Here is a 25,849-nt window from a genome sequence, read left to right as displayed (position 1 = left end):
ATCCTCAGAGCAGCCTTTGTTCCCTGGCACAATGGGAGCCCAGCAGAGTAAGAATGCGCTTTAATAGACTAAGTCCATTACTCTCTCTCCTACTGTCTACCAGAGTTTTGTCCAGTATATGATGGGGGGGAGACTTTATTTGGGATGACAAAGAAGAGCGAACAGATCTCTTCTCTTGGGATCTGTTATTATAACCAGTCATTTGTGATCTTATAACCTGGAAAAATCCCTGAAGATTAATAAGAGGTAGTTAAGTTTCAGTCACAGTTGAGTGATTTACCCGTAACTATTTCTTAATAGCCCAGCAAGGAGTCATAAGCATGATCAGGATTTTATTGATAGGATTATTTCTGTGGCAAGGTACAATTATCCTGGTATGAAGTACAGGAAAACAAAAAGCCTTTTTATTTAGGTCTTTAACAAAAGAGCAGGCACAGAATGTCTAGGGGGCGACTGCTGTTGGAATCAGAAGAATGCAAAAATCCAAGTGAGGGTACATACAGCATTTCACTGTGTTTTTAGTGTTGATCTTGCAAAGCGAATGCTTTTATCACCGAGTTAGCTGCCCTTGATATAATAGAGATGATTTGTTTTGGAACATAGCACAAGTGTTACAGGTTTCTTGCATATATCACCAACAAATTCTACACAGTAACTTCTTGACATAATTTTAACATTCTCGAAAAGCGTGCTCTTTTGTTTAACTCTCTCAACAACACTGACCCAGGCAGGATAAGCGATCCTGTAGATTATCAAGAGTAGGTGATTTATTTCATCATGGTCAAAACATATACAAAATCTGCCTTCAAACCCATCTGTTCCTAGAGGTAGAGATAGATACATATTTATACAAAATAGAGATATGTATTTATACAAAAATAGAAGGGAGCCATGGGATTTTGAGGTATGCTGTGAAATTCCTACTATTTATCTTTTGTGTTTGACTATCCGTAGGGCTGTAAGCTTACTCAGAGCTCACATAGATGCGTCCAGGTACTGTAAGTCAACGACTGTGCTTGGTCTCTGCCCTGTTCTTGTTCTGTGAAGTGAAGAAGGCCTCAGATGCATTTGGTTTGGTGAGGCTAGAAGCACTTGTATTTGCTACCTCTGTGTTACAAAAAAAAAAAAAAAAAAAAAGCCCGTTTTGTGTGTCTGTTCCCTATAAGAATTGAGTTCTTTGCCTGCTCTGTTTTCAGACATCAAGCCTTACTTTAATGTGTTTTTCTAACTCTGTGCTCCCCATACGTGCTTGATCATCAAAATCACCTGAAATACTGTGAGTTCTACGATCAGACAAGTTTAGGAAACAATCTTAGCCTGATGCGTTAGATCTGTCTCATGGAGTTTAATTGCTGACATCCTGTCAAGGACCTAGGTCCATAGCATGTTCCTGCAAGCACTTGGTGTCTGGCATTGCTCTTGGCAGTAAATGAATTAAAACTACAAAAAAGTTAGGAGGCAAGCATTCACTTCCCAAGGATCCTTTCCCAAATCAGGAGAGGCTCAGTAAATGCTGTGAATTATAGGAATATTTGTTCATTATTTCAACAATGATTCGAGTGTACACTATGTGCCAGGAATTTGTGCTCGGTGTTGGGGACACACAGCTGAGAATGAGGCATTATTTAGAATGAGCTAACATTTACTGAAGTGCTCATGGTGGGATGAATACCCAGCTAACTGCTTCATGTACCTTTGCTGGTTATAACTTCATAACTGTCCCATGAGGTGGGTAGTGTCACCATCATTTTAAAATTAAGAAACTGTTATTTCAGAAGTTTGACTGACTTGGCCAAGGTCACTGATCTCACAACAGGGAGATTCAGAGTCCATACCAGACGTATATTCCTGTCTCTGTTCATCTTCTGCTTAACACAATCTATGTGTCTCCTCACTTTCCTCTTTCTACTGCCATCACTCTGTGATAGAGTTGCCTGGTAAACTTTTAAAAAGTATCCTTGCCTGGGCTTTACCCCAAACAGATGAAAGAATAGTTGATGGGGCCCGGGCACGAGCATTTTTCAAAACTCTCTGGGTGATGCCAATGTGTAGAGATGGTTGAGAAGCATTTAGAGCATTGTTAATTGACACCAAATACATACTGTTCCTGCCAGCCTCGTGGTTTCTAGCATTCTTCTTAGATCATTTGGCTGATTAAATGATTAATGATTCCAAATCACTTTTCTTCCCTTTTAAACAAACAGAAATCTATCAAAATATAACAAATACTTTCATAATGCGAAATATTCCTCAGTGAGGGACATGATAAAAGACCCATTTAACTGAGAATTTAGAAACTCGAAGATCTATTTTCAGGGGGAAGTAGAGTCAACAGTGAGTGATGAGGAATGACCTGGGGTCTAGAGCACCCATGAGCTCCTCGATCTCTCTTTTCCTGGTGTGACTCTGAGATCCTGAGATCTTTTAATCTGATGGGAAAGAAAACCTTGGGACAGATGGTAGTTCTTGAAAATTTCCCTCATCCCCGGTGAACACAGGTCATGTATCAACTTATTTTTTTTCCCAAATCCAAGTCAAAGTAAAATAAAAGCTAAATAGGAGCTTACTAATTTGGATGACTTAGTATATGTACTTTATACTAAAGATTATTTTGAATGCTCAAAGAAAAAAGAATACATTAAAAAGTAGAATAGACATTTGCATTTCTTGAGGCTGTTTGACAACTTTACTCAAACAATGCATGCATATATACTTATATAAACTTTTAATTTAAGAATTCTGTGTTTCTTGCTGCCAACACTTTGTTAAACATCTATTATATGGTCAGTAATATCTTGCCTTTTAAAGATAGCAGTCTAATTAATCATTGACTCTCCACTAATTAAATCTGTTTTTATCTTGTCTTCAATCAGTGGGTTGTGACTGATCCCTATGACAGGTTCTTCTCAAAACATCTGTATCAAATATTAAGAGAAAATGGTTAGTTGAAGTAATCACAATATTGTGGTCTATAAAGTTTCTAGAAAGAGAAAGACAAGGAAAGTAAATTTGGGGGTCACTGTATTTCAACAAGTTTGAGGCACTTTTATAAGAAGAAAAAAATCAAGGCTACCAGGGGAGGGAAAACTTTTTAAACCATTAGGTCTTTAGACAGAGAAAGAAAGAACAATGACTTCCATCCCACTCTCATAGTGATTTAAGGTGAGTATTATCTTTGCATTTTACATGTCAGACAACTGATAGGACAGTTGGATCATAAATTTCGAGTAGGGTCAAGAGTCACTTTATGACTATTACTAGAAAAGATCATTACCAAAAGAGTAAACTAAGAAAAAAAAAACAAAAAAGAAAAATAAAAACATGAAAAATGGCCTCCTTTTTTACATTTCCACATAGGTGATCTCCATACGAGGAGATGAACTTGAACTTGGTTGGGCGGGAGACGAACCTGGTTGGGCGGGAGACTGGAGCCCCTCAGAGAATTTGGGATTCTTCCATTTTTACTGGGAGGGTTGGCAGGTATAACATGTGTTGTTATGTGAGTCCATGAGAGCCTCTGGGGTTCTTACTCCCTGCCTCTCCGTGTGGTGGAGAGTCAGTCGCTTACTCTGAAGCACTCGACTGATTTCTGTCTGTGGCTTATCCATGAACAGTGGCTTGGAAGTGTGAAAGCATGAGAAGCATGCAGTGGAACAGCATGCGCTGCCGTCATCTTCTACTTGGTTCTGCATGGGAAAGCTCCTGGGCTGGCTGCCTCTGAGCTCAGGCATTTCTCTCTCTCCCTACAGAACTCCCTGAAGGCTTCAAATCGGAAGAAGAAGAGAACAAGCTTTAAAAGAAAAGCCAGTAAAAGAGGGATGGAAGTAAGTGTTTCAGAGTTTTATTCTGAGGAATTTCCACTTTCTTTCCATAGTCTACTCTGTCCTATGAGATCTGGTCCAAGTTGATTTTTCTGATCTATCTTCTACTACTGCTTTCTCCTCACTACACTCTAACCACAATAGGATTCTTTCTGTTCTTTTAAAAAAACAAACACTCAAAACTAACCTCTGCGCTTGCCTGGAAATGTTATCCCCAAGATGATGATGATGAAGATCCAAGCTAATATTTCTGGAATATTTGGAGTTTACAGAGTAAAATAAAAAGCCTGGCTTAATTCTCTGGAGCAAATGATAACTTGAGATACTTTCTTCCAAGCCTTACATGGAAGTCGTGTTAAGAGTCAGCCCTGGGAAACAAAATGTATTATTGGGTGGTTTTCCACCTCCCTTGCCTTGGGGTTGCCTTTCAAGCCATGGATGTGTATCCTAACAGTGCTGATTGCTTCTTTCAGCAGGAAAACAAAGGTCGTCCTTTTGTGATAAAACCCATCTCTTCTCCTCTCATGAAACCCTTGCTTGTATTTGTGAATCCCAAGAGTGGAGGCAACCAGGTGAGTAATTTTTCATGATTTTCAACTTAGAAGTTTTGATAATTTCTTGACGACACAACTCTCACTGCCAATTAAAATAGTACCACTAGGATCCCAAGCTTTGGAAGACACCGGTTTCTCAGGAACAAGGTTATTGTTTCTCTGATAGCTTTACACATTACAGGGCTGGGCAAAACCTAGATGTTCTATAATTTATCTGTCTGCTTCCATATAAGACTATAACAAAGGCACTTAAGAAACCTAACTACTGACTTTTTCCTTACAGATTTTCAAGAAAGGATATTCTAGAATTTCTCTTAGTTCGTATGTTTCAGGATTCCTCAATTCTTATAGTTAGGAGGCCCTTCATCAACTTCTTTTTATTTCTTTCTATTGCAATTTAGATACAACCACTTTCATCCCTATCCTCAGAGAAGAAAAAAGGATGATTCATGAGCCATGATAATCCCTACCAAATACCACCAACATTATAGAAAATATCAACTTCTTAAGGTTTCACTTGGTCCTAGCCCAAATCCAATAGTACAGATACTTATCTCATTTGAGAATAAAGAAATTGACTTAGAAAAGTTAAGTCTAAAGGCATGCCTAAAGTGACACTGGTCTATAAAGGACAGAATTTGTTCTTGAATCCTGGTCTTTGTCTCTTCATCCGATTATCTTCCCACTCTCTGAGGCTTCTTATCAATACTCTTCTATGGGCTTTAATTTTCTGTTATTTTCTTCTGAGTTTGGATGAGAAAATATTTTCTTTATCCACGAAGTATATATTTTACATTTTGAGACAAGATTCCTTCAAGTTTTACAATAAACAACTGGAGATTTGAAACCCTTTAGTCATCCCATATAAGGAAGGTAAGTTGTATAAATAGGATTGACCCACTGGTCCAAGATGATGTTCTTATTACTAAAGACAATGGGCATTGTCCAGAATGTATTAATTACAATAAAACTTCTCTTATGGGAGCTTATGATTTAAATGAAATATTATTCTTCCTTTCATCTCTGCCTTCAAAATTCTCAAAAACTTGATATGGTAAAAATGTGTATTAACATTTTGGAGAACAAGGAAAAGAAATTTGTGTAAGCAAAGAAACCATTTGTTTTCAAGTCCTGCATTTTTGAGTTGCTGAGAGATCTTTATGGAGTAATGATGGCAATTCTAAGACATCATTAGAGGAGGACCTAGACATGGGTTTCCTTGAAATGAGGTTTAATTTTCCCTGAACAATACCCACTCTCTTGGGCTAGTATCCCTATGTTCTATCAAAGGTTAGAGATGCAGTTGGGAACCCTGAAACATGGAAATGTAATTAGTTCCATGATTTTGGCCACCTGAGCACCACATATCAATTAGTTTCAAATATATTTTGTCATGACAGTCCACATATAAGATGCATTTATTAAATCATTATAAGCTCTCTTTCCTAGGGCGCACAGAGGCTAGTAAGTTATCTATTTCTTTAAGGAGCTGATGATCCAGTTAAGACATAGCCTGTTCCTATTCCAGTCTATGTGTAAATTATTAATGACGGGGACTTCAGAGATTATCTAATATTGCTTCCTATTTCACTAAATAGAAAAGGGAGGTCAAGGAAGCTTAAAATGAATTTTCTAAAGACATCTTGTAAATGACACAAAAGGAACAAATGGAAAATAATTTAAGCAACATTAACTGCATGTGACTTCTAAATTGAGTGGCTCAGACTGCAGTGCTATGATATTTCAGAGGTAAGCAGTGACTTGGGAGTGATAAGGAAATGGTGTCATGGACATGGCTGAAATCAAAGATGGGTACTACTTAGTTATGCAGAGGAGAGAAGACTGGAAGGTCTGTCCTTTTCCTGCTCTTTACTGTGGCAGATTCCTGTTCAGCAAATTCTTGTTCATCCTTCGAGGCTCAGTGGTGCCTTTCTGAACCATTTCTCGAGATCAATCATCCTGTCCACTATGCCCCGATAGCCCTTGGTACACACTTGCATGATATGAACAGTAACATAACTGCTCTATGTGCGTCTTCACTGTTGGGGTACAGGTCCACCATTGAATCTGTGATTTCTAGAACACGGCACATAGTTAAATAATTGTATAATAGGATTAGAAGAACAGATGTCATGATGCCGATTATTCATTTTGAGGACAATATGATGAGTGGTGCATGCATATTAAGTTATTGGAAATGTGATTAAAGATTAGAATGATCCTATGGAATCACGTCTTCAAGAAACAGGATACTTCAGGTTGAAGACTTTGGATTTATGCAATGGAAACTAGTTTTTTTGCTGTTTAAAATATTTTAGTTTAAAAAATCTTTTGGCTTTTGAACAGAGGAATAATATGGTGGAATTTAATGTGCGTATGATTCAGATGGGAATTGTGCTAAAATGCAGATTCTGCTTCAGTAAGTCGGGGTGGGCCCTAAGATGCTGCATTCGTAATAAGCTCGCAGGTGCTGAGACTGCTGCTCAGAGAACCATACTATGGTTAGCAGGGGCTTACTGTGATAAATAGAAAAATAGATACTTTTTGTTAAATCTTGAGTTTTGCCTTTTAATAATTTACTTATTCCACTCACCTGCTTTTAGATATAAAGGATTCCTATCTCCTTCTGTCTTTGAAACTTAGGCTTTAGACTTTTTTTTTCTTTTTTTTTAAAAAATTTTTAACTTGCTTAGTCTTCTAAGTAAATTACTGGACAATATTGCCACCTACTGGCAAGAAAAATAGCTTTTTCTCTTTATATAATATTTTACTTGTGTAAGAAAAACATTTTGAAGGAATGTATTGGGATGAACCGTGTAAGGACTGCTTCTATGTCTCTCTTTTAAGAAATCCCATATTTTAAAACTCTTTAATTTTTTTTCTAAATTGATACATTCTTTTTGTACATACTTATGGAGTACATATGCTATTTTGATACATTTATGGCATGTATAATGAGCAAGTTAGTGTATTTAGCACATCTATCACCTCAAACATTTATCATTTCTTTGTGTTTGAAATATGTCAAATCTTCTAGCTATTTTGAAATGTGCAATATACTGTTGTTAAGTATAGTCACCCCACTGTGCAAACACTAGAACCTATTTCTTCTATGTAATTGTATGTTTTTACTCACTGTCCAACGTCTGGTCATCCCCCACACCCACCACACCCTTCCCAGTCTTTGGTAACTATCATTCTACTCTCTACCTCTGTCAGATCCACTTTCTTAGCTCTACTACATATGAGTGAGAACATGTCAATTTTTGTCTTTCTGTGCCAGGTTTATTTCACTTAACATAATGACCTCCAGTTCTATCTTTGTTGCTGCAAATGACAGGATTTCATTCTTTTTTATGGTCAAATAGTATTTTATTATGTATATATACCACAGTTTCTTTATCCATTCTTCCACTGATGAACACCTAGGTTGTTAAATCTCTTCTTTTAAACTTAGCAGTAATTGTCTCTTTGTTTTTCCAACACTCTTAAGGTAGCGATGACACTGGGTGTTTTGCAAAGCTGTAGAGCTTGGTAGCACTGCTGCTATTATTTTATTGGGATTTGACTTATTTGAGGAATCAGGGACCAAAATTTCAACTTTTTTTATTTTATTTTATTTTATTTTATTTTATTTTATTTTATTTTATTTTATTTTATTTTATTTTATATTTTTGAGACGGAGTCTTGCTCTGTCACCCAGGCTGGAGTGCAGTGACACGATCTCAGCTCACTGCAACCTCCACCTCCCAGGTTCAAGCAATTCTCTTGGCTCAGCCTCCCAAGTAGCTGGGATTACAGGCATGTGTCACCACACCAGGCTAATTTCTGTATTTTTAGTAGAGACGGGGTTTCACTATGTTGGCCAGGCTGGTCTGGAATGCCTGACCTCAGGTGATCTGCCCGCCTTGGCCTCCCAAAGTGCTGGGATTATAGCACTGTGCCCAGCCAAAAATTTCAACTTTGAATACCTCCTTCGGTGGAAAGAGATAGTAAGTGTAACATAAAGTTTACTCCAGTGCAATCCCCTCCTATGTGTGGAAACTTTCGAGTACTAGAGAAATACGTCCCCTCCCTTACACTTCTGTTTGCCTTAATGTCAAAACTTAGATTTTTCTTTGAGGTCCTGGACTCATTAGCATCTTTCTGAGTTTTATAGAATCCTGTGATATCTCTCAGTGTTTCCTGCTTTCACACTGTCTCTCCCTCACGTTCTCTCATGACTTTCTCTTCCAGTGACCTAGACTTTAACTTCAGGGTAAAGCAATGTTCTGACCTCTAGGATGATTCTATCTGATCATCCCTGAGAGCCAAGGGATCCAGACCCTGGCTTTGCACACTGTTCGATGTGGAATCCTGGGGTAGAAGTATGGCAGGAGTTGGATCCTTGGATTACAGGTCCCAGGGTCTTTATCAGTAGGGTGATCGAGGAAGAGGTGTCCAGTCTGTGGACAGACACATGGCAGCTGAGTTTACACCACCATCTGGGAATCGGCTTTCTCAGACTAGGGCCACCCCTCCTAAGTCAGGGGCCAGTCACATCAAGGTGGGGAGAAGGGGAAGACAGAAAGAGTAAATAACTTCAGATGAGAAATTTGAGTCCCAAAACTGTTTCTAAATAATTGGACAAGCAACTTTAATGAAGTAGTTACTTTTTTGCAGTACTGGAAACTTCTCAACCTAGTGATAATTCAAGGATCATTATGTTTAGATAAAAGTGCAGGCTCCCTAAGGTTTAGAGTAGGCAGGGAAGAGGGCAGAGGGAAGTCAGTAGACGAGGACACTTGTCAAAATGCAGCCTCAACATCTTCTTGTCCAGCTAGCCTCAACAGATGGAATTAAAACAACCAAATGATGAACCTATGGAAAGTCCTATTTCTGAAATCATAGTATTGGTGGGAGGATTGGGCAGCTAAGACCCAAACTAGCTCCTGTGATAGGTCTGGTTCCTTAGTCTGTAGCCAGAGCGATGCATAAAAAATGTCAGTCTGGGAGAAAAAAAAGCTGGTCTGAATCTCTTAATGAAGACTTTTCAGTGACTCCTTGTTTTCTATAAATTAAAGCCTAAGCCTCTCAGCATACATTATTTAAACCACAGCTCACTTCAGCTGTCTCCTCTCTCGCAACTCCCTGTCTCATGGTTCAGAAAAGTGAACAGAATGTAGCTTTTTCATGGGATGTCTTGCTGTTTCACACCTTTTGTGCCTTTACCCTGAAGGTTCTTCATCTATTCGAGGTGGAAAGAAATAGTTAAGTCTACTCATTTTTCAAGACACATTTCAGATATTTTACTTACAACGCCTTCTAATCTCTCAACTTGGGCTTAAGAGTGTTTCCTCTGGGCACTCATCCTCCTTAGCAGACGTCTGTATCAGAGAAGTTCCCATCTTTGGTGAATTAATTTATTTTGTATTGCTCTCCTTCCAGTAAGTTCTGAGATCCCGACGGTACACATGGACAGAGTAGGGGCCTAATACGTATTTATCAAATAAATGAGGCATTCTATTTGGATTGTTTGAAGCAGTTTGAAATAATAATTTCTTAAGCCCTTCCTCTCATTAATGTATTTTTCTCAGGCCTTTCTTATTGTCTGGGCAGTTGTTCTTTCTATAATCTAGATAATGCCTGCATGATATAAACCAAGACTTAGTAACATAGCAGAGTTTCAACCTACACTAGAGTTATGGTGCTTTGATGAAGATTGATGAGCTATTTGAACCGACCCGTTCTTGATTGCTTCTCCACACCCCCAACAATTGTCATTATGTTTTCCTTTATGAATAATGCATGGAACTTCCTTCTGAGAACAAGATCATCTCTGTCTTGTTCATCTCTGTATTCTCCTACCTAAAACTGTGCCTGTCACATAGTAGGTGAATGAATGAATCTTGTTCAATCCAGTCACTTTTTGGGAATTTGTATTCTCCTGTTGCACTCCCTCCCTAGTACTTGCTGCTTGGAAGAATAATGTTCTTTTACTCCTTAGGAATACCCATTCTTATAATATCTAAAAAAGTTCTGTGGCCAGTGAGGTATATCTACAGTAGCATGCATGGATTGGGATTGGCATATAAGCTGTTTTTTTTTTTCATTTAGAGAAAATTAGACTCTTGCACAAAAGTTGCAGTTTTTATGTTTGGCATTATAGCATGTGATAACTATGAGAGTGCTGGAGAGTTGTTAGTAAGTGACAGATGTCTAAATGAGCAGATTTAATCCTACTATTGAGGAAGAAATGAATTACCCTTCTCCTGGTGAATTAATATTTGTCAAACCATTCAGTTACATTTAATAAATTATCTCTATTAAAGCTTTAAAGTTACTTAACCCAGAGGTAACAGCAGAGTTAATAGAATTCATTTAAGTGTGTGAGTTAGATCTTTGTTTCTCCACACACTAGGTGGAGCATTTTTTCAACGCTTTCTTTTAGATACTTACATTTTTGGTAATAAATACCATATTTTGAAAAGAAGATTACTTTTTAAAAGATGTAATCATATCATGCCTGAATGTCAATTTCAACAGGGTAGCCATGCCTGGCTATGCAAGTTATCTTTACACAATTGCAGGCATGTTATTCCAATAGACTGCAATAGAAATGTCACCTCTGTGGCCACTCGGACCTTTTAGAGAAATTCAAGTTTAAGGAAAACAACCTCTCAATGCTTTTTATTTTTATTTTTTGGAAGATGTTAGTTACCTATTAATATTTGCATAATGGAGAGGCTGAAGCTGAGCTGTGCACTCTACTATAGCACAGGTGGAAAGGAGTAATTAACATCAACAATTCAAACTACTCTAGGAATCTAAAACTGAACAAAGAACTTTCTAGCAAGTCAGTTGGAAATGTTTTATAAATTAGTTGGTCATTAAAATAACTCCTGTGTTACCTATTAAACATAAAAGATTATTCGAGATAATCCCAAACACACTTCATAGCAAGGCTCAGCGTGAGAAGAGGGAAAATGATCTAGTATTTAGTGTGTATACAGATCTAAGTCTATGTTTGAATTTGATAGGAAGCACAATATGTCATTTGGTGAAACTCAAGGATTCGTTGTAATTATTAGATAGAACGTGATTCCTAAAATTATAGCAAGCACATGATAAGGCAGAACTTTTAAATTATAGGTTTGGCTGGTACATGCAACAAAAGACCTGCATTGGCCTATGTAACAACAGGAGTAACAATGTGATAATTATAAGCTATACTTTAGAGCTCACATTCTCAAGTGTAATTTAATGAGTAGATTAACTGGCTGCAAAAAAGAAAAGGATTAACGGTAACAAAGGTCTGTTTTGTGCCGCATACTGTGCTAGATACGTGACTGTTAGTGATTCACTTAATTCTCATACTCACCCTGGAAGGTGGACATCCTTTCTATTTTATATACTGCATTTCTGCAAGGTTATAAATGCTCATGATTACTCAGAACACTGAAGTTAGTTTGACCTCAAATCTCATACTATGTCCAGTATACTGGGATGACTCTTAAATGCAGCTTATTAGATATACAAACCTAGGCATATTTTAAGAAAGAGCAATTACGATATCTACTAAAACAACAATATTATGAGCAACAAACTCGGCTCAACTGGTCAAATATTATTTGCTATGGGTGATAAAATGGGGCATCCTACTGATTTTTAAAGCTCTTTTGGTATTGCTTGATAAAAAGATCCTTCTTGCATTTCTTTTTCTTTTTTTTTTTTGAGACAGAGTCTCGCTCTTTCACCCAGGCCGAAGTGTAGTGGCGCTATTTCGGCTCACTGCAAGCTCCGCCTCCTGGGTTCATGCCCTTCTCCTGCCTCAGCCTCCCGAGTAGCTGGGACTACAGGTGCCCGCCACCGTGCCCGGCTAATTTTTTGTGTTTTTAGTAGAGACGGGGTTTCACTGTGTTCGCCAGGATGGTCTCAATCTCCTGACCTTGTGATCTGCCCGCCTCGGCCTCCCAAGGTGCTGGGATTACAGGCATGAGCCACCGTGCCCGGCCCCTTCTTGCATTTCTTGTTTGCTCAATCCAATTTAAAAATGATCTCTAAAGTGACCTTATGTCTGCTGTAATGATGATCTCTATAAATGTCACAGTTACTTAAAATGCCCCAAAAATGTTCACGTGACAGAGAAGTGTTTGGCTTAAACAAACCAGTATAGGCATGGAGATTGAAAATGTCAAAGTAAGCTGTGATCTTACTAAGGAAGTTTTATATATGTATAAAATAACTGGGAGCCTGGGATACTTTTGCTTCAGTTAGAAAAAACTATTTCTATAAAATTATATTAATACTTAGCTAATACTGCCCATATTTTATATTATACAGACAATAATCTGTACAATAAAGTGAAAATTAATGTCAAATTACATAGGCTGACTAATAACTTTTCTATATGGATTTTCATACATTAATGATAGTAAAATAAATATTATTCATTAAGGGCTTACTGCATTTTAAACACTGTGATGTACTTCTCAAAAATTATGGCTTTTAATCCTTGCAACAAGTCTGCAAACTGGGTATTCTTGTCTCTGTGTTAAAGAAAAGGAGGGCTGAGCTAAATGAAATGAAGAAACTTGCCCAGAGTTACACAGGTTAGATAAACATCTAAACTGACATTCAACCTATGGCTATCCATGACCAAAGCCCGTGATTTTAACTACTCTTCTATACTGCTTATAATTAGATATTATTTTATTTATTTATTCATCATTCATTCACTCACTTATTATTTTTTGAGACAGGGTTTCACTCCTGTCACTCAGGCTGGAGTGCAATGGTGTGATCTCGGCTCACTGCACACTCCGCCTCCTCAGCTGGGACTAAAGACATGTGTCACCACACCTGGCTGATGTTTGTATTTTTTGTAGAGACGGGATTTTGTCATGTTGCCTAGGCTGGTCTCAAACTCCTGGGCTCAAGTGATCCACCTGCGTCAGCCTTCCAAGGTGCTGGGATTACAGGCGTGTGCCACCGTGCCCTGTGTATTATTTTAAATAAAAGTATTTATTTTTTAAATGAGCAGTTATTCTTGGGAAATTTCTTCCTATTATTGCCTTTTTGTGTATTTATTTTTTACAGGGAACCAAAGTCCTGCAGATGTTCATGTGGTACCTGAATCCACGGCAAGTCTTTGATCTTTCTCAGGAAGGGCCAAAAGATGCGTAAGTCTGGAAATATTCTCCATGGTCCATATGTATTTTAGGCAAGTGAGAATTTTCTGCTTCATTATCTGATTACCTTGTGAGGTATATCCTGACCATCTGTCATCTACCTTCTCACCTGTACTCTCCTTCCTTTAAAACTTCATCCAAAGTTCTCTCCTACTCTTTATTGGCTTAGTTCCCTTCGAAACATATCTTCTCAGCTATTAACTCAGGATACGTCTAGTGTGTTTGTTACTTACGTATGTGTAACTGTAGGTTATTCTCTGCAAATCTGTGAATTGAGAAAGGACTCATTGTTTTTCTATTTCTTCATGTACAACTTTGGAGATGCACATTAATGGAATGTAAATGTATGTCTGTGGAGGGTGGAGCCATGTTTGTTTATGAATATTTGAACTGAAAAGAGAGAGTGTGTGTGTGTGTGTGCGCGCGCTTGTGTGTGAGAGAGAGAGAATCAATTGATTATACCTGAGGACTCTGCACAAATGTGGGGAAGACATATTAATTCCTGCTCAATCCCGTTTCTGAGCTTCTCAGAAATCTCATTCTCTGCTTTTGTTAGAAGTGTTTAAAATAAAGTCTAGATTGTAGGTGACCCATATCCTGCTTCTCTCCTTTGGTGGAGAGGCACACAGTGGAAAAGACCAAGGACACTTCTGCTGTTCTCTGGTTCTCCGTTTTAAATTCATGTACTAGGATAGTTCAGATGTTATCTGATAAATGTTAGAACACAAGGGTACCACTTATTTTTTAATAAGTAACAATATCAGAGGAAAAGGTGATTTCTAGAGAAATAGTATTCTTGTATAAAATGGATAAATTACTTATTTTAAGCATGCAGATTAGGAAATATGAAAATTAATTTGTTATTTTCTTAACGTATGAATTTCTTCACCAGTTGAGTTTGCTGCAAGATTCTTCCTCTCTCTGTCCCATAATACATATATATATATTTATTTATTTTTATTTTCTGTACTTGATTATGCTAAGGCAAATCTGCTATCCTGGGATGTGCCATTTTAGGAGCTTATTTTTCTTAAGATTTTATCACTTTAGTTAGACCCTAGAGAGACACTTCAGAGGTCACCGTAAAGAACATGGTAGGACAGGAAATATTTTCAGAAAAAAACCATATTTTGTGATTTAAATAGGTGATATTTTCTAGATTACAGCCTCTAGCAACTTCACCTAAGCAAAAGATTTAGCAGGGGCAGTGTCAATGCATTTTCCTGAGATCCAAGAGGAAAGACAAAATTATCTTATTTCAAGCAGAGAAGTTTGAAATAAATAAAAATCAGTCAATCTTCCCACTTTGGGTTGGAGGTGTAAGTGGTGTGTAACTGAGCTGAGAGAAAGACTAGATGGAATTGTAGATGTGATACCTGTGTTCACATCTGAGAGTGCGGAAGCCTCCCCGTCTCGCTGAAAAAGATTTCTTAGGATTAAGAGTAGAAAGTATAAGTTAGAAGAAGTAAATACATCCAGGGAAAACTAATAAATATAAAGAGGGGATATATAAGGACTACTGATTATCAATTAATGATGATTTTCTTGGGGAAAGGGGAAGAGGAAATGATGGGAAAAGAAAAAGAAGGAAGTCAAAACTAACGAGGAAAATAATGTTGACATATAATAGAAGTTATGGGAAATAAAACTAGGACATCCTAAAATCCCTTAAATTCCAACGTTGAATTATTCATTCAAAAATAATGTCTGATGCCTACACCTGTTCCACTGGTGGGAGTCATTCTTCCTGTGGTTACTTGGGACCTATGATAGCATTGTCATCCTCATGATTACACATTTTCTCCAGCGGACACCACCCCTACCTACCCATGTTGTCCTCTGCTTTCTCTCTGCTCTAGCCAGTGAAATGTTCTTTTGTTTACTTTTTCTTCTATTTCCTCTACAGGCTTGAATTGTATAGGAAAGTACCAAATCTGCGAATTCTGGCCTGTGGTGGGGATGGAACGGTAGGTCCCTGAGAGAGAATCCAGTTCTCTGCCAATTCTATCTTTCTTATTGTTTTCTTGTGGCACTTCTTTTTATTCGTTGCTCAGTCTTTCTAATCCCCTAACACATGTATATCTCTCATGTGAATCATAGCCCCTAAGAGTAACAAGGGACTTTGTTATTGTCCTTATGAATACATACTTGATCCTTCTAATGTGTGCTTCACTCCTTCAACTATGCTGTATTCTTTTGTGTGCCATGAAGTAGGGATGTGGTCAAATCCTTAAAATGAAGATTATAGATAGATAAATTCCTTTTAAAATATAAGCTGAACTGTTTCCATTTATTCTTAATAATTTGGCCACAGTAGGGAGAAATACGTGGACACAATTGAATTATTATGTTTTTTTTTTTACTAGTGGGAATAAAACTCAGAATATTGAGTGTTGTTTTGCCTTAAAGATTATTAATTGGTCCTATTTATGTTCTTTTTTGTTGACATACTTTACCTGTATATGGGGTATGTGTGATATTTTGTTATATGCATAGAATGTATAATGATCAAGTCAAGGTTTGGAGGTATCCATTACCTAGGCTATCATTTCTATGTGTTGGGAACATTTCAAGTTCTCTTTTCTAGCTACTTTGAAATATATAATACATTGTTGCTAACTGTACTCACCCTACTCTGCCATTGAACATTAGAACTTATTCCTTCTGACTGTATGTTTGTATTCATTTATGAAAAAAAGGTGGAATTGGGCTGAAGGTTAATATCATGGATATATTTTCTCCTGTTTATTATGCCTCATCGGTTTTCTCCATTTGGCCTCTACTTATGGTGATATATTTAACAAAGTAAAGAATTGAGAATCATGACATTTAGATTGTGTTGTCTGGTTCTTTTTCTTCCGGATTTGGAATCTGATCTCATAGGATCTACGAATGTATTATGAACTATCTTTAGCTTTTCTCTAATTTCCCTAATTAGAATGTTTTATTCTCAAAGGTAGCAACAAAATCTTCGAATACTATCTCTCTTAGCACATAAGCACTTAATGTAGGGTTGGATACACATTATATACCAATAAATGCAATGAGAATGAAATAGAACTGTGATTTTTATTGGTCTCTCAGATACTGTGTGGAGAGTAAAAACAATGTTCAGTTGGGAAAAATAGTCTTTATCTTTCTTCAAGGTTCATATTACACATTATTAGTTTATAAAATTCATTATAATGTCTTACAGCAAAGAAGCCAAACCTATTTAACTTTTTTAAACCCAACGTTTTTCAAAATTATTTGGCCATGGAATTTTTTTCCCCCACACAATACCAATTTCAATTGATTTTAGTGTTCTAGGGAGATCAATTTAAGGGATATGGTAGGGCAAAATTTCCCAACTTTCTTTAGTAAGAATTACATCCAAATGAACCCTCTGAGGATGGATATACTGTGTTCTTCCTAACTCAAGCATCCCCCAGCTTAGTTATCTTTAATGAAAGGGTAAACTCACTGTGACTCTTTACCATACCCATAGTTATCTTCCTTATTTTAGCATCTACTTGCCTTCTCATATGACTTCAGCATCTCACTCACATCTTTTCTCCTTTTCTAAACCTCAGTGACAAAAACAGATAAGTTGAGGATGTCGTCCTTCCTCTTTCTTAACTCAAATCCACATAAGCTATGCATAACATCCCCAGATCTTGGACTTCTTTGTTGCCTTGGGTGCTCCACCTCCCAGGCCTCCCTTTCTCCATGGAAACTCCCATTCCACCTCTCCCTCCCTCATTCTCTCTCCTTTCTTCTTCCTTTTCTTTTCTTTCTTTCTTTTTTTTTTTTTTTTTTTTTTTTTTTTTTTTGAGACGGAGTCTCACTCTGTTGCCCAGGCTGGAGTGCAGTGGCACAATCTCAGCTCACTGCAACCTCTGCCTCCCAGGTTCAAGTGATTCTCTTGCCTCAGCCTCCCGAGTAGTTGGGACTACAGGCACGTGCCACCACAGCGGGCTAATTTTTGTATTTTTAGTAGAGACGATGTTTCACCGTGTTAGCCAGGATGGTCTCGATCTCCTGACCTCGTGATCCACCTGCCTCGGCCTCCCAAAGTGCTGGGATTACAGGTGTGAACCACCCTGCCTGCCCGTTTTCCTTCTTTACTCAGCAGATATGTGGAGGAAGCACTGTGCTAGGTCATGTAGTATTGAGATATTCTCTGCAATTAGATGAATATTTGAAAGTATGGGATTCCAATGAATAAAAGATAAAGAGGAAAGAGAGCCAAGTCCACACACTTGTGAAATGTATAATTATGGGTCCGGAGCCAAAGTCCAAAAGGAAAATAAATGAAAAAATAGAAGAATAGGACAGCCACCAGTCTGTTCTGTCAAGTAAACAAACCAAAAAAGGAGTTTCAAGAAAGAGGCAGTAGTTACATTTTTAAGGAGAGACTGAAAAGTTACCATTGAATATGGAATTTCAAGAAAGCAGTTTCAATAGAGTATGTGGGGCAAAACCCAGAATGATGAGTAAGTGAAAGTTGGTACAATCTTAATAAATTCCTAATGGCCAGATCCGATTACAGTTTCGAATGTCTGTGATCTCTCTGATGCCATTGTCAGCCTCCTGACATGTAGACTACCTACTTCTCCTATTTTTCATATCCAGTCTTTTCAAGCAACTCTTCATTAATGATAGCATAACTATGAGTATTCCATAAGGGTAACTAATTTTTTTAATGTGGTAGGTACCTTTTCCTCTTAGGGACATTATCTATATTTTAACATCTGTTTTTACCTCCTCTGATGTAATTCACAAATGTACTAGTCATTTACACTTGGGTGCCCCATGGCCACTTGCATTCAGCATGCCTAAAATAAAAGTAGTACGTTTACCCTAGAGTTGGCACATTTAAACTAATTATTTTTGTCAGTGGTAACATCTGTAGTTAAAATACTTAGAATCAAAACTTTGCTTATCTTGTACCTTATGTAAACCCAAGTTTTATTTAATTTACCTTGTTAGGATAAGATGTTTTGTGAAAAACATGGGGTATATGAAATGTTTGTCATGGTATGTGATTGATTTTTTTTGTTTTGTTAGTTTAGAAAATGAAACTTTTAATTGTGGGCGGAGGCAGAGTTTATATAGAGGAAACAGCCTGAGGAATTCATGAAGAAAACTGCTGGCTTTAGGCAAGTGGAGTATAATTCTGAATTCAGGTATATATTTGACACAAGGTATTCAGCCTTTCGTTAGTGAGCACATCTGTCACTGTAGAAGCTGGCAGAATGCTGCCAGTAAAGTGACAAAGCTTAGGGAGAAATCAGAAATTGAATATTTTTCACTGACTGGGATGAGGCTATATTACCCCATAACCGTATTAGTTTAAATTAAGAGTATTATTTAAGGTATAGAAAGTATTATTTAAGGTATAGAAAGTTTGCATTACTTTGGAAAAAAGTTCTTAGGCTTCAATATTAGCTACTTTAATTGTATATTATTTAAAAAATACATGAAAGGCCAGGTGTGGTGGCTCACGCCTATAATCCCAGCACTTTGGGAGGCCGAGGTGAGCACATCACTTGAGGTCAGGAGTTTGAGATCAGCTTGGCCAATCTGATGAAACACCATCTCTATTAAAAATATAAAAATTAGTCGGGCATGGTGGTGCACACCTGTAATCCCAGCTACTTGGGAGGTTGAGGCAGGAGAATCACTTGAACCCAGAAGGTGGAGGTGGCAGTGAGCTGAGATTGTGCTACTGCACTCCAGCCTGGGTGACACAGTGAGACTCTGTCTCAAGAAAGAAAAAAATATGAGAAAGCAGAGGGAAACATTCCCCAATAATGCACTTGGAAGTGGAGGTGAAAGAGGTGGTTCTGCTCTCATTTCTGTGACCTTTGGCAGGTTCCTTAACCTCTTTTGAGACCTTCTGAATCTACAAAGAAATGCATTCAGATCTCTAAGGTTCTTATAGCTGTAGCATTATAATAATATAGGCTATTGTTCAAGGGAACTTTAATGCAAGCCACATTTGTACAATTTTGAATTTTCTAGAAGGTACTTTTAAAAAGGTAAAAAGCAGGTGAAATTAGTTTATAATATATTTTATTTATCTAAAATAGTATCATTTCAATATGTGTTAATTTATAAACATTGTTAAGATATTTTATGTTCTATTTGTACAGTCTTCAAAATCTAGCATATATTTTATACTTACAGCACATCCAATTTGGATTAGCTATATTCGAGTGCTGGATCACCACATGTGGCCAATGGCTGCTGCGTTGGACAGTGCAGGTGTAGTCTCTTTGTTACTGGCTTGCACAGTTCAGAGGCTGTCACATAGTTACAGCTGTCAGATGGTCTGATCCCATTTTCAGATCTCTTGGCTGCAATAAATTCAGCTCACTCAAGAATGATCTCAAACCTTCATGTTTATAAATGAGAAATAGCCTGTCTTTGGTCATGTGATAAATTTGTATTTTCTCACTTCCTTGGCCACGTTGACACCTATTCAACTCCTAATGGCTGTCACCCTGCTGAAATATTGACGAGCACATGAACTGATCTCCTGAGGCTCACGTACTCTCATTATGGTTCCTTAAGGTGTGTGACCCATGGTCCCTATCTATCTGGCTCCTGACTTTGGTGAACTTGGCTGGATCTGCAAGTCCACCTTTAACCATTTTAATTATTTCCAAAAGGCCTGACATTAAATTGACTCCAGCCATCCACTTCATGCTTATTTCTTGTTCTATTGGCTTTTCTAGATGAAAAAGCATCCCAAATGGTAGACATCCCCATGCCCTGACTCACCACAGCCAATGCAAAGAAGGAAGTATTATTTTCCTTTAATTGATAGGGACAATCCCTCATCCTAAGCCCCTTTCCTCATTCATCCTCAGCCTAGTTATATTTCATCCTCTCTCACTGAGTAAGCACACAGTGTACCTTCAGTGTGGATTCTATATTGTTTCAAGAAAAGGTCATATTCTGATTTTTATCTTGATTTCTTTTGGGCTAATTTTAAGCACATTTCTTTTAACACATGTTGGCTTTATTAAGTGCAAACATACATTAAAATATCAAAAGGAAGAATTATTGTGCACATATTCAAAAGGGTCCCCCAGTCATCCAATACTGTGTGGTCATTTTCTTTCAGAGCTCAGCAAAACTCTTGTTTTCCTTTGATTTCCAAACGTGAGTGTCCTTCGCTTTTTGGCCTGCATGTACTACAAGGCAGCGCAACGTGCATCTGTTCTCTTGGAAGAAAATATCAGTTTGCTGTCATCTCCACCCTTCAGCCACCCCTTATGTTAGTATACTGCAGAATGAAAATATTGCTCAAAATGCACTTGGTAAACATTCAGTGACAACTAATGCTAAAAACGGACAGATGGTGGCAGCATTGACCAGCTGCTGCTGTGCATGGCTGCTCAGGGACAAAGCGGAGGACCTGGTGTTCTCAATCTGTCAGCCCTGCTTTTCCTAGGAAGGAAGGAAAGAACTTTGCAAGCTGGAAAATCATTAGGCCCAATCAGGATAACTTTCTTCAGTTCTGGTGGAAAATATACCAAGTGCAATAAGTTGCAGTTAATTAAATAATTTAATTGAAAGGGTGCTAGGTGAGCTGGTGGAGATGATTTGGGAAAATACGAAAGCCGTGGCAGAGTTCCTGCCCATAGAACCTTTCAATGTGCAGTCTGGACTTCAGGTGGAAACGGGTTCCGGATTACTGTAAAGACAGAGCTTCCAGTAACAGCTTTAAGATCTTTTGTAAAGTTTTTCTCTAAGGACAAAGACACAGATTGTTTCCCAAGATTTTTAATGTCTCCTGCTATTGTAAGTGTGTATTTGTTTCCATTTTGTTTTTTATAGCCCCTTTTTTACTGCAGGGAACCTCTGCTTTTACTGTTCTTTACAGTCTGCAAAAGAAACGCTTTCTGATTTGATGGCAGCTGAAGGTGGGGCTGATTTGCAAACTCAGGGCTCAACTTTAAGTGGAGAAATGGGAAGAGGGCATTTTTCTTCTAGGAAACTGGGCCTTTATTGAGGAAGGTTGGAAAGAGGTAGCAAAATCTAGCTGAGTCATAGTAGCTAATGTTAGTTTAGCATTTCCTGTTTGTCAGGCACTAGCTAAGCAATGTCTACACATGAGTTGATGAAACAACTCTAAAAGTCAGGCATTATTATTACTCTTGCTGTACAGATGTGAGGGGAGCTTAGAGAGATTAAATGACTTGCCTAAACTCACCCAGCCAATTTGTGGTGGAGCTGAGCTCCCTGCCGCTCAGCTCGGTGCCCCACACTTCTGCGCTGTGCTGTCTTCCGGGAATGCTGGCTGTTGGGGAATGCTGATAGAGCTGCTGGCTGAAAAAAACTATTCAGGAGCTGTGGAGGGGCGATATAGACCCACCTCAGCCAGAGAACTATTAGCCTAATATTGGTTGTCTGTGGGAGAATTTCAAGACAAAACAAAATCTGTGCTGTGAAAGGCAGGAGGCCTTTGATGACTCCAAGGGTGATGGAATGATGAAATGCAAGATTTTCTGCTTATATTCAGGAGACAATGACATATTTGATCATTTGGCTACAGAAAAAAGGAGAAAGAATCTATTTATCCGGTTCATAAAGCAAATTGATTGATGAGAGGCGAAGCACCTTTACATTCACACACTGTGTACTTGTCCTTTTCTGCATAGACCAAGGGTAAAAGGAGAAGAGATGGTGAGAAATCCAGGCACCCTGTGGGCTCTGCCTTTGTGAGGAATCGTAGCTCAGTATCACGAGAACTCCTGACAACCTTCTCTGAGAAAACAATTAGGAACACAGCCTAGAAGATTTGAATGAGGGCTGTTAGAAGACGCAGCATCAGCTGGATGCAGTGGCTCATGCCTGTAATCCCAGCACTTTGGCGGGCGGATCACTTTGAGCTCAGGAGTTTGGGGGCAGCCTGGGCAATACGGCAAAAGCCGCCCCCATCTCTACAAAAAATGCAAAAATTAGCCTGGTGTGGTGACTTGCACCTGTGGTCCCAGCTGCTCGCGTGGCGGAGGCTGGAGAATCGCTTGAGCCCACGAGGTAGACGCTTCAGTGAGCTGAGATTGCACCACTCCAGACTGGACAACAGAGTGAAACTCTGTCTCAAAAAAGACAAAAAAAACAACAACACAGCATCGATTCATAGAAGTTGTGGGATACGTCACGTACTTCAGAGTCATTTGGAAATTGTTTGTGTTCCATGGGCAGTGAATTAACCCCCTAACGTTCCATCTGTTTTAGTATTAGCATTCCTCCTGCACTGTGGAATTGTTTCTTCTTTGCAAGCTCATCTTCACAGGAAGTTGTTTTATTTAATTTTTACTTTTCTATCTCTGAATCCCTTTGGTTTCTAGTAATATTGAATTGTTTTCAGGACTTTCAGATGAGAGCTGGGTTTTTCTATAGATTCCTATGGCTCCACCCTGGGGAGATGGCAGGGGTATGTCACTGGGCTTTTGGGAAGTCGGGTTGAGCACTTACCAGAGTGAGGCTTTCTGGGCTTCTTTCAGCCATAGTACGTCCCACCTTTCTGTGGGCCATGACCTCAGACTGGTTTTCACATTCCTTCCTCCTCTCTTCCTCCCTGCTATGAAAGAGCCGTGCTCCAGGACAGCTTGCTGTCAGTAGGGCACACACTTTTATTTCTCCATTATCAGGCAAGCCAAAATCCCAGCTTCCTCTGCTATTTGCAAGACCAGGAGCCAAGCTGATCCAAGCCTTTACCCCAGCTCTGCCACTTTGTATTTTTTTTCTGGCCCATTGAAGCTGCGTCTTTTTTTTTTTTCTTTCTTTTTTTCTTTTCTATCATTGTTGTGTCTGAGTGAAATGGGATATTGAAAGTGTAAACTCATAGCATTTTCTTTACCCAGAAAAGAGAGACATATTTCAAGTGAGCATAAGAAAAATGTCTAATTTAAATCTGCCTGAAAGAAAACGGGCTGACTTGGGAGCACAAATCATAAAGGAGAGGTTGAATGATTGTCTCTTAGAGAAGTTTTAAGGAGAATGCCTTCTTCCTTCTTTGGAAGGGGTGGTGAATTAGATTTCTACTGAGTTCTCTGGTGGGTCTGTGAGTCTGGCTCTATTCAGGGCTGTTGTTTCTGCAGTTGGTGATCCCAGATGGGTGGGCTTTTTCTGAGTATTTATGTCCTTTTTATGGCCTTTAAGACCCCTTCTTGCAGTTTATTAGAACTATCTACTTTTACTGTGTTTAATCTGTGCTTTTAGCAGTGCAGAAACAATGTCAAGCACAAACATCAGAACTAATTTAGCATCAGGCATTTTTATTTGGACTTCAGTAGCCAGCTTTGTTGGTATTGCACGTAAAAGAAGAGACTAAAGAAGCTCTGGGTCAGAATCTAAGGATCTGTCTGGGAGTAAGTTCCCCAGTTTAGGGAAGTGGACAGACTTTTTGACATTTATAGGTCTGGATTTTTAGTTACCACATTGGGTGAACCATGTGGTCTGCCTTTTTAGAAGATGAACACAATTTTAGACATAATTGGTAGACGAGCAAGTTTTACATCCTGGTAAGTCACCTTTGTGGAGGAGAAAGAATTTTAGTTGGAAGTCAGGAGAACCAACGTTACCATGACTCTGACACTTCTAATCATTTGGTCTTGAGAAAATTCCATGGTTTTTTTGCACCTCAGTTTATCAATCTGCAAGTTCACTGAATTTGATTAAGCAATGTTTAAGGTTTCTTCATCTCCACAGGTTCCAAAAATCACATGCCACTGCTTCCAGGAGGGTCTGGCCATATCCAGAAGGGGGTTGAGTTCTTTATTTAAGGGTTCCCTATACCTTAGCAGTTAAGGGGTTGGCCACTGGCATTAGGCATTCCTATTTTTGAATGCCATCTATATCGTGTAAACTGTGTGATACTAAGGAGGTCACTTACCTTTCCAATTCTCTGTTTCCTTATCTATAAGATGGAAATGAAAATTACATTAATATCTGTCTTACAGATAATGTTTTAAAGTTTAATACAATAATTCATTAAAGGACTTTGCTCAGGCATGGCACATAGAAAGGCATCGGTATGGGCCTGGCACGGTGGCTCACGCCTGTAATCCCAGCACTTTGGGAGGCCGAGGTGGGCAGATCACAAGGTCAGGAGATTGAGACCATCCTGGCTAACACGGTGAAACCCCGTCTCTACTAAAAATACAAAAAATTCGCCCGGCGTGGTGGCATACGCCTGTAGTCCCGGCTACTTGGGAGGCTGAGGCAGGAGAATGGCGTGAACCCAGGAGGTGGAGCTTGCAGTGAGCGGAGATCTTGCCGCTGCACTCCAGCCTGGACGACCGATTGAGACTCCATCTCAAAAAAAAAAAAAAAAAAAGCATCGGTATGTCCATCTTTGTGTTACTGTGAACTCCTGGAGAGCAATCTTTCTACCTTATCTGTCACAGCCTAGCTCATTTATCTCTTTATTTTGATTGCTTAGTTCTGGGTTTTATATGAAGTAGTGTTCAATAAACAAATGATCTAGTATTTTTGAGAAACATGACTCGTACAAATATAGAATGAATACATGTCAAAAAATTTGCTTAGCTCTTTAATGAGGGAGCCTGCAAGATAGTAAAGCTGATTTATCAGAACTAGAGAAAAAGAATTATGTACTTCGTATCAAAATAATTTTTCTAAATTTGATGCAAAACTGATCAACGTCCTATGAGAGAATAAAACTATAAACTTTAAAGCAATCATCTCTTCTTGACATTTGTGTCTCTATAGGACAGAAATCTATGTTAACCTACAGTTACACAATTCTTAGGCCTGCGAAACACTATTTTAGTATGACATTATAAGGACATTCAAACTCCTTTTTGCCATTTCAAATTTTGGTCAATTTTTCTAATTAGTTATAAGACTAAACCCAAAGTATTATTTATCTTAGAAAAAGATTAAACAGGGATATGATTCTAGTATATAAGTATCAATTTCCTGCCTAAACTTATAATAGGTACTAGGTCTGTCCATAATTATGTTTTCATAATGTTTCATTAAGGAAAATAGAGGGATATTCAGGAAAACACTATCAATTTCCAAGATGATACTATAGAGGGCAACCATTTAATAAGTACTTATATGGGCCATGTACCATGTTAAGTGCTTTATGTACATTTTAGTTTAATTAGTAAACAATCGTGTGAGGTACGTATTATTATCCCCATTTTGAAAATCAAGTAAATGAGTCTCAGTGAGGTTAAATAATTTAGTCAAGGTTATGCAGCCAGCATGAGTCAGAATTGAAATTCAGTCTTATTCTGAGTTTTATATTCCCTCCTATGCCCTGTTATACTAC

General features: G+C 38.3%; 1 protein-coding gene across 9 annotated transcripts in view, besides 4 other annotated features; it reads left to right on the top strand.

The window, feature by feature from the left end:
* The window catches only part of DGKI (diacylglycerol kinase iota), a 465,938-nt gene that overhangs the window by 233,616 nt on the left and 206,473 nt on the right, over positions 1 to 25,849 (top strand). For all 9 annotated transcript variants that reach the window (XM_047421022.1, NM_001321708.2, XM_047421021.1 and 6 more), the window contains 4 exons: positions 3,750 to 3,824; positions 4,295 to 4,393; positions 13,454 to 13,536; positions 15,452 to 15,512. In XM_047421022.1, the coding sequence (XP_047276978.1) occupies positions 3,750 to 3,824; positions 4,295 to 4,393; positions 13,454 to 13,536; positions 15,452 to 15,512 (318 nt within the window). The remainder of the gene's footprint in view (positions 1 to 3,749; positions 3,825 to 4,294; positions 4,394 to 13,453; positions 13,537 to 15,451; positions 15,513 to 25,849) is intronic.
* Positions 21,089 to 22,288: an enhancer, noted in NCBI's record as "MED14-independent group 3 enhancer chr7:137275817-137277016 (GRCh37/hg19 assembly coordinates)". NCBI's record gives its function as "activates an origin of replication core promoter dependent on BRD2, BRD4, P300/CBP and CDK7 cofactors, and independent of MED14, by STARR-seq in HCT116 cells {active_cell/tissue: HCT116}" and the evidence as "EXISTENCE:reporter gene assay evidence [ECO:0000049][PMID:35650434]".
* Positions 21,089 to 22,422: a biological region, named in NCBI's record as "MED14-independent group 3 enhancer GRCh37_chr7:137275817-137277016".
* Positions 21,922 to 22,422: an enhancer, noted in NCBI's record as "H3K27ac hESC enhancer chr7:137275683-137276183 (GRCh37/hg19 assembly coordinates)". NCBI's record gives its function as "activates a minimal SCP1, AML or CMV promoter by ChIP-STARR-seq in primed H9 embryonic stem cells {active_cell/tissue: H9 hESC(primed)}" and the evidence as "EXISTENCE:reporter gene assay evidence [ECO:0000049][PMID:30033119]".
* Positions 22,423 to 22,923: an enhancer, noted in NCBI's record as "H3K27ac hESC enhancer chr7:137275182-137275682 (GRCh37/hg19 assembly coordinates)". NCBI's record gives its function as "activates a minimal SCP1, AML or CMV promoter by ChIP-STARR-seq in primed H9 embryonic stem cells {active_cell/tissue: H9 hESC(primed)}" and the evidence as "EXISTENCE:reporter gene assay evidence [ECO:0000049][PMID:30033119]".

Source organism: Homo sapiens, chromosome 7, assembly GCF_000001405.40.
Source record: "Homo sapiens chromosome 7, GRCh38.p14 Primary Assembly".
NCBI classification, from domain to species: domain Eukaryota; kingdom Metazoa; phylum Chordata; class Mammalia; order Primates; family Hominidae; genus Homo; species Homo sapiens.
This window is presented reverse-complemented; position numbering and strand designations above follow the sequence as displayed.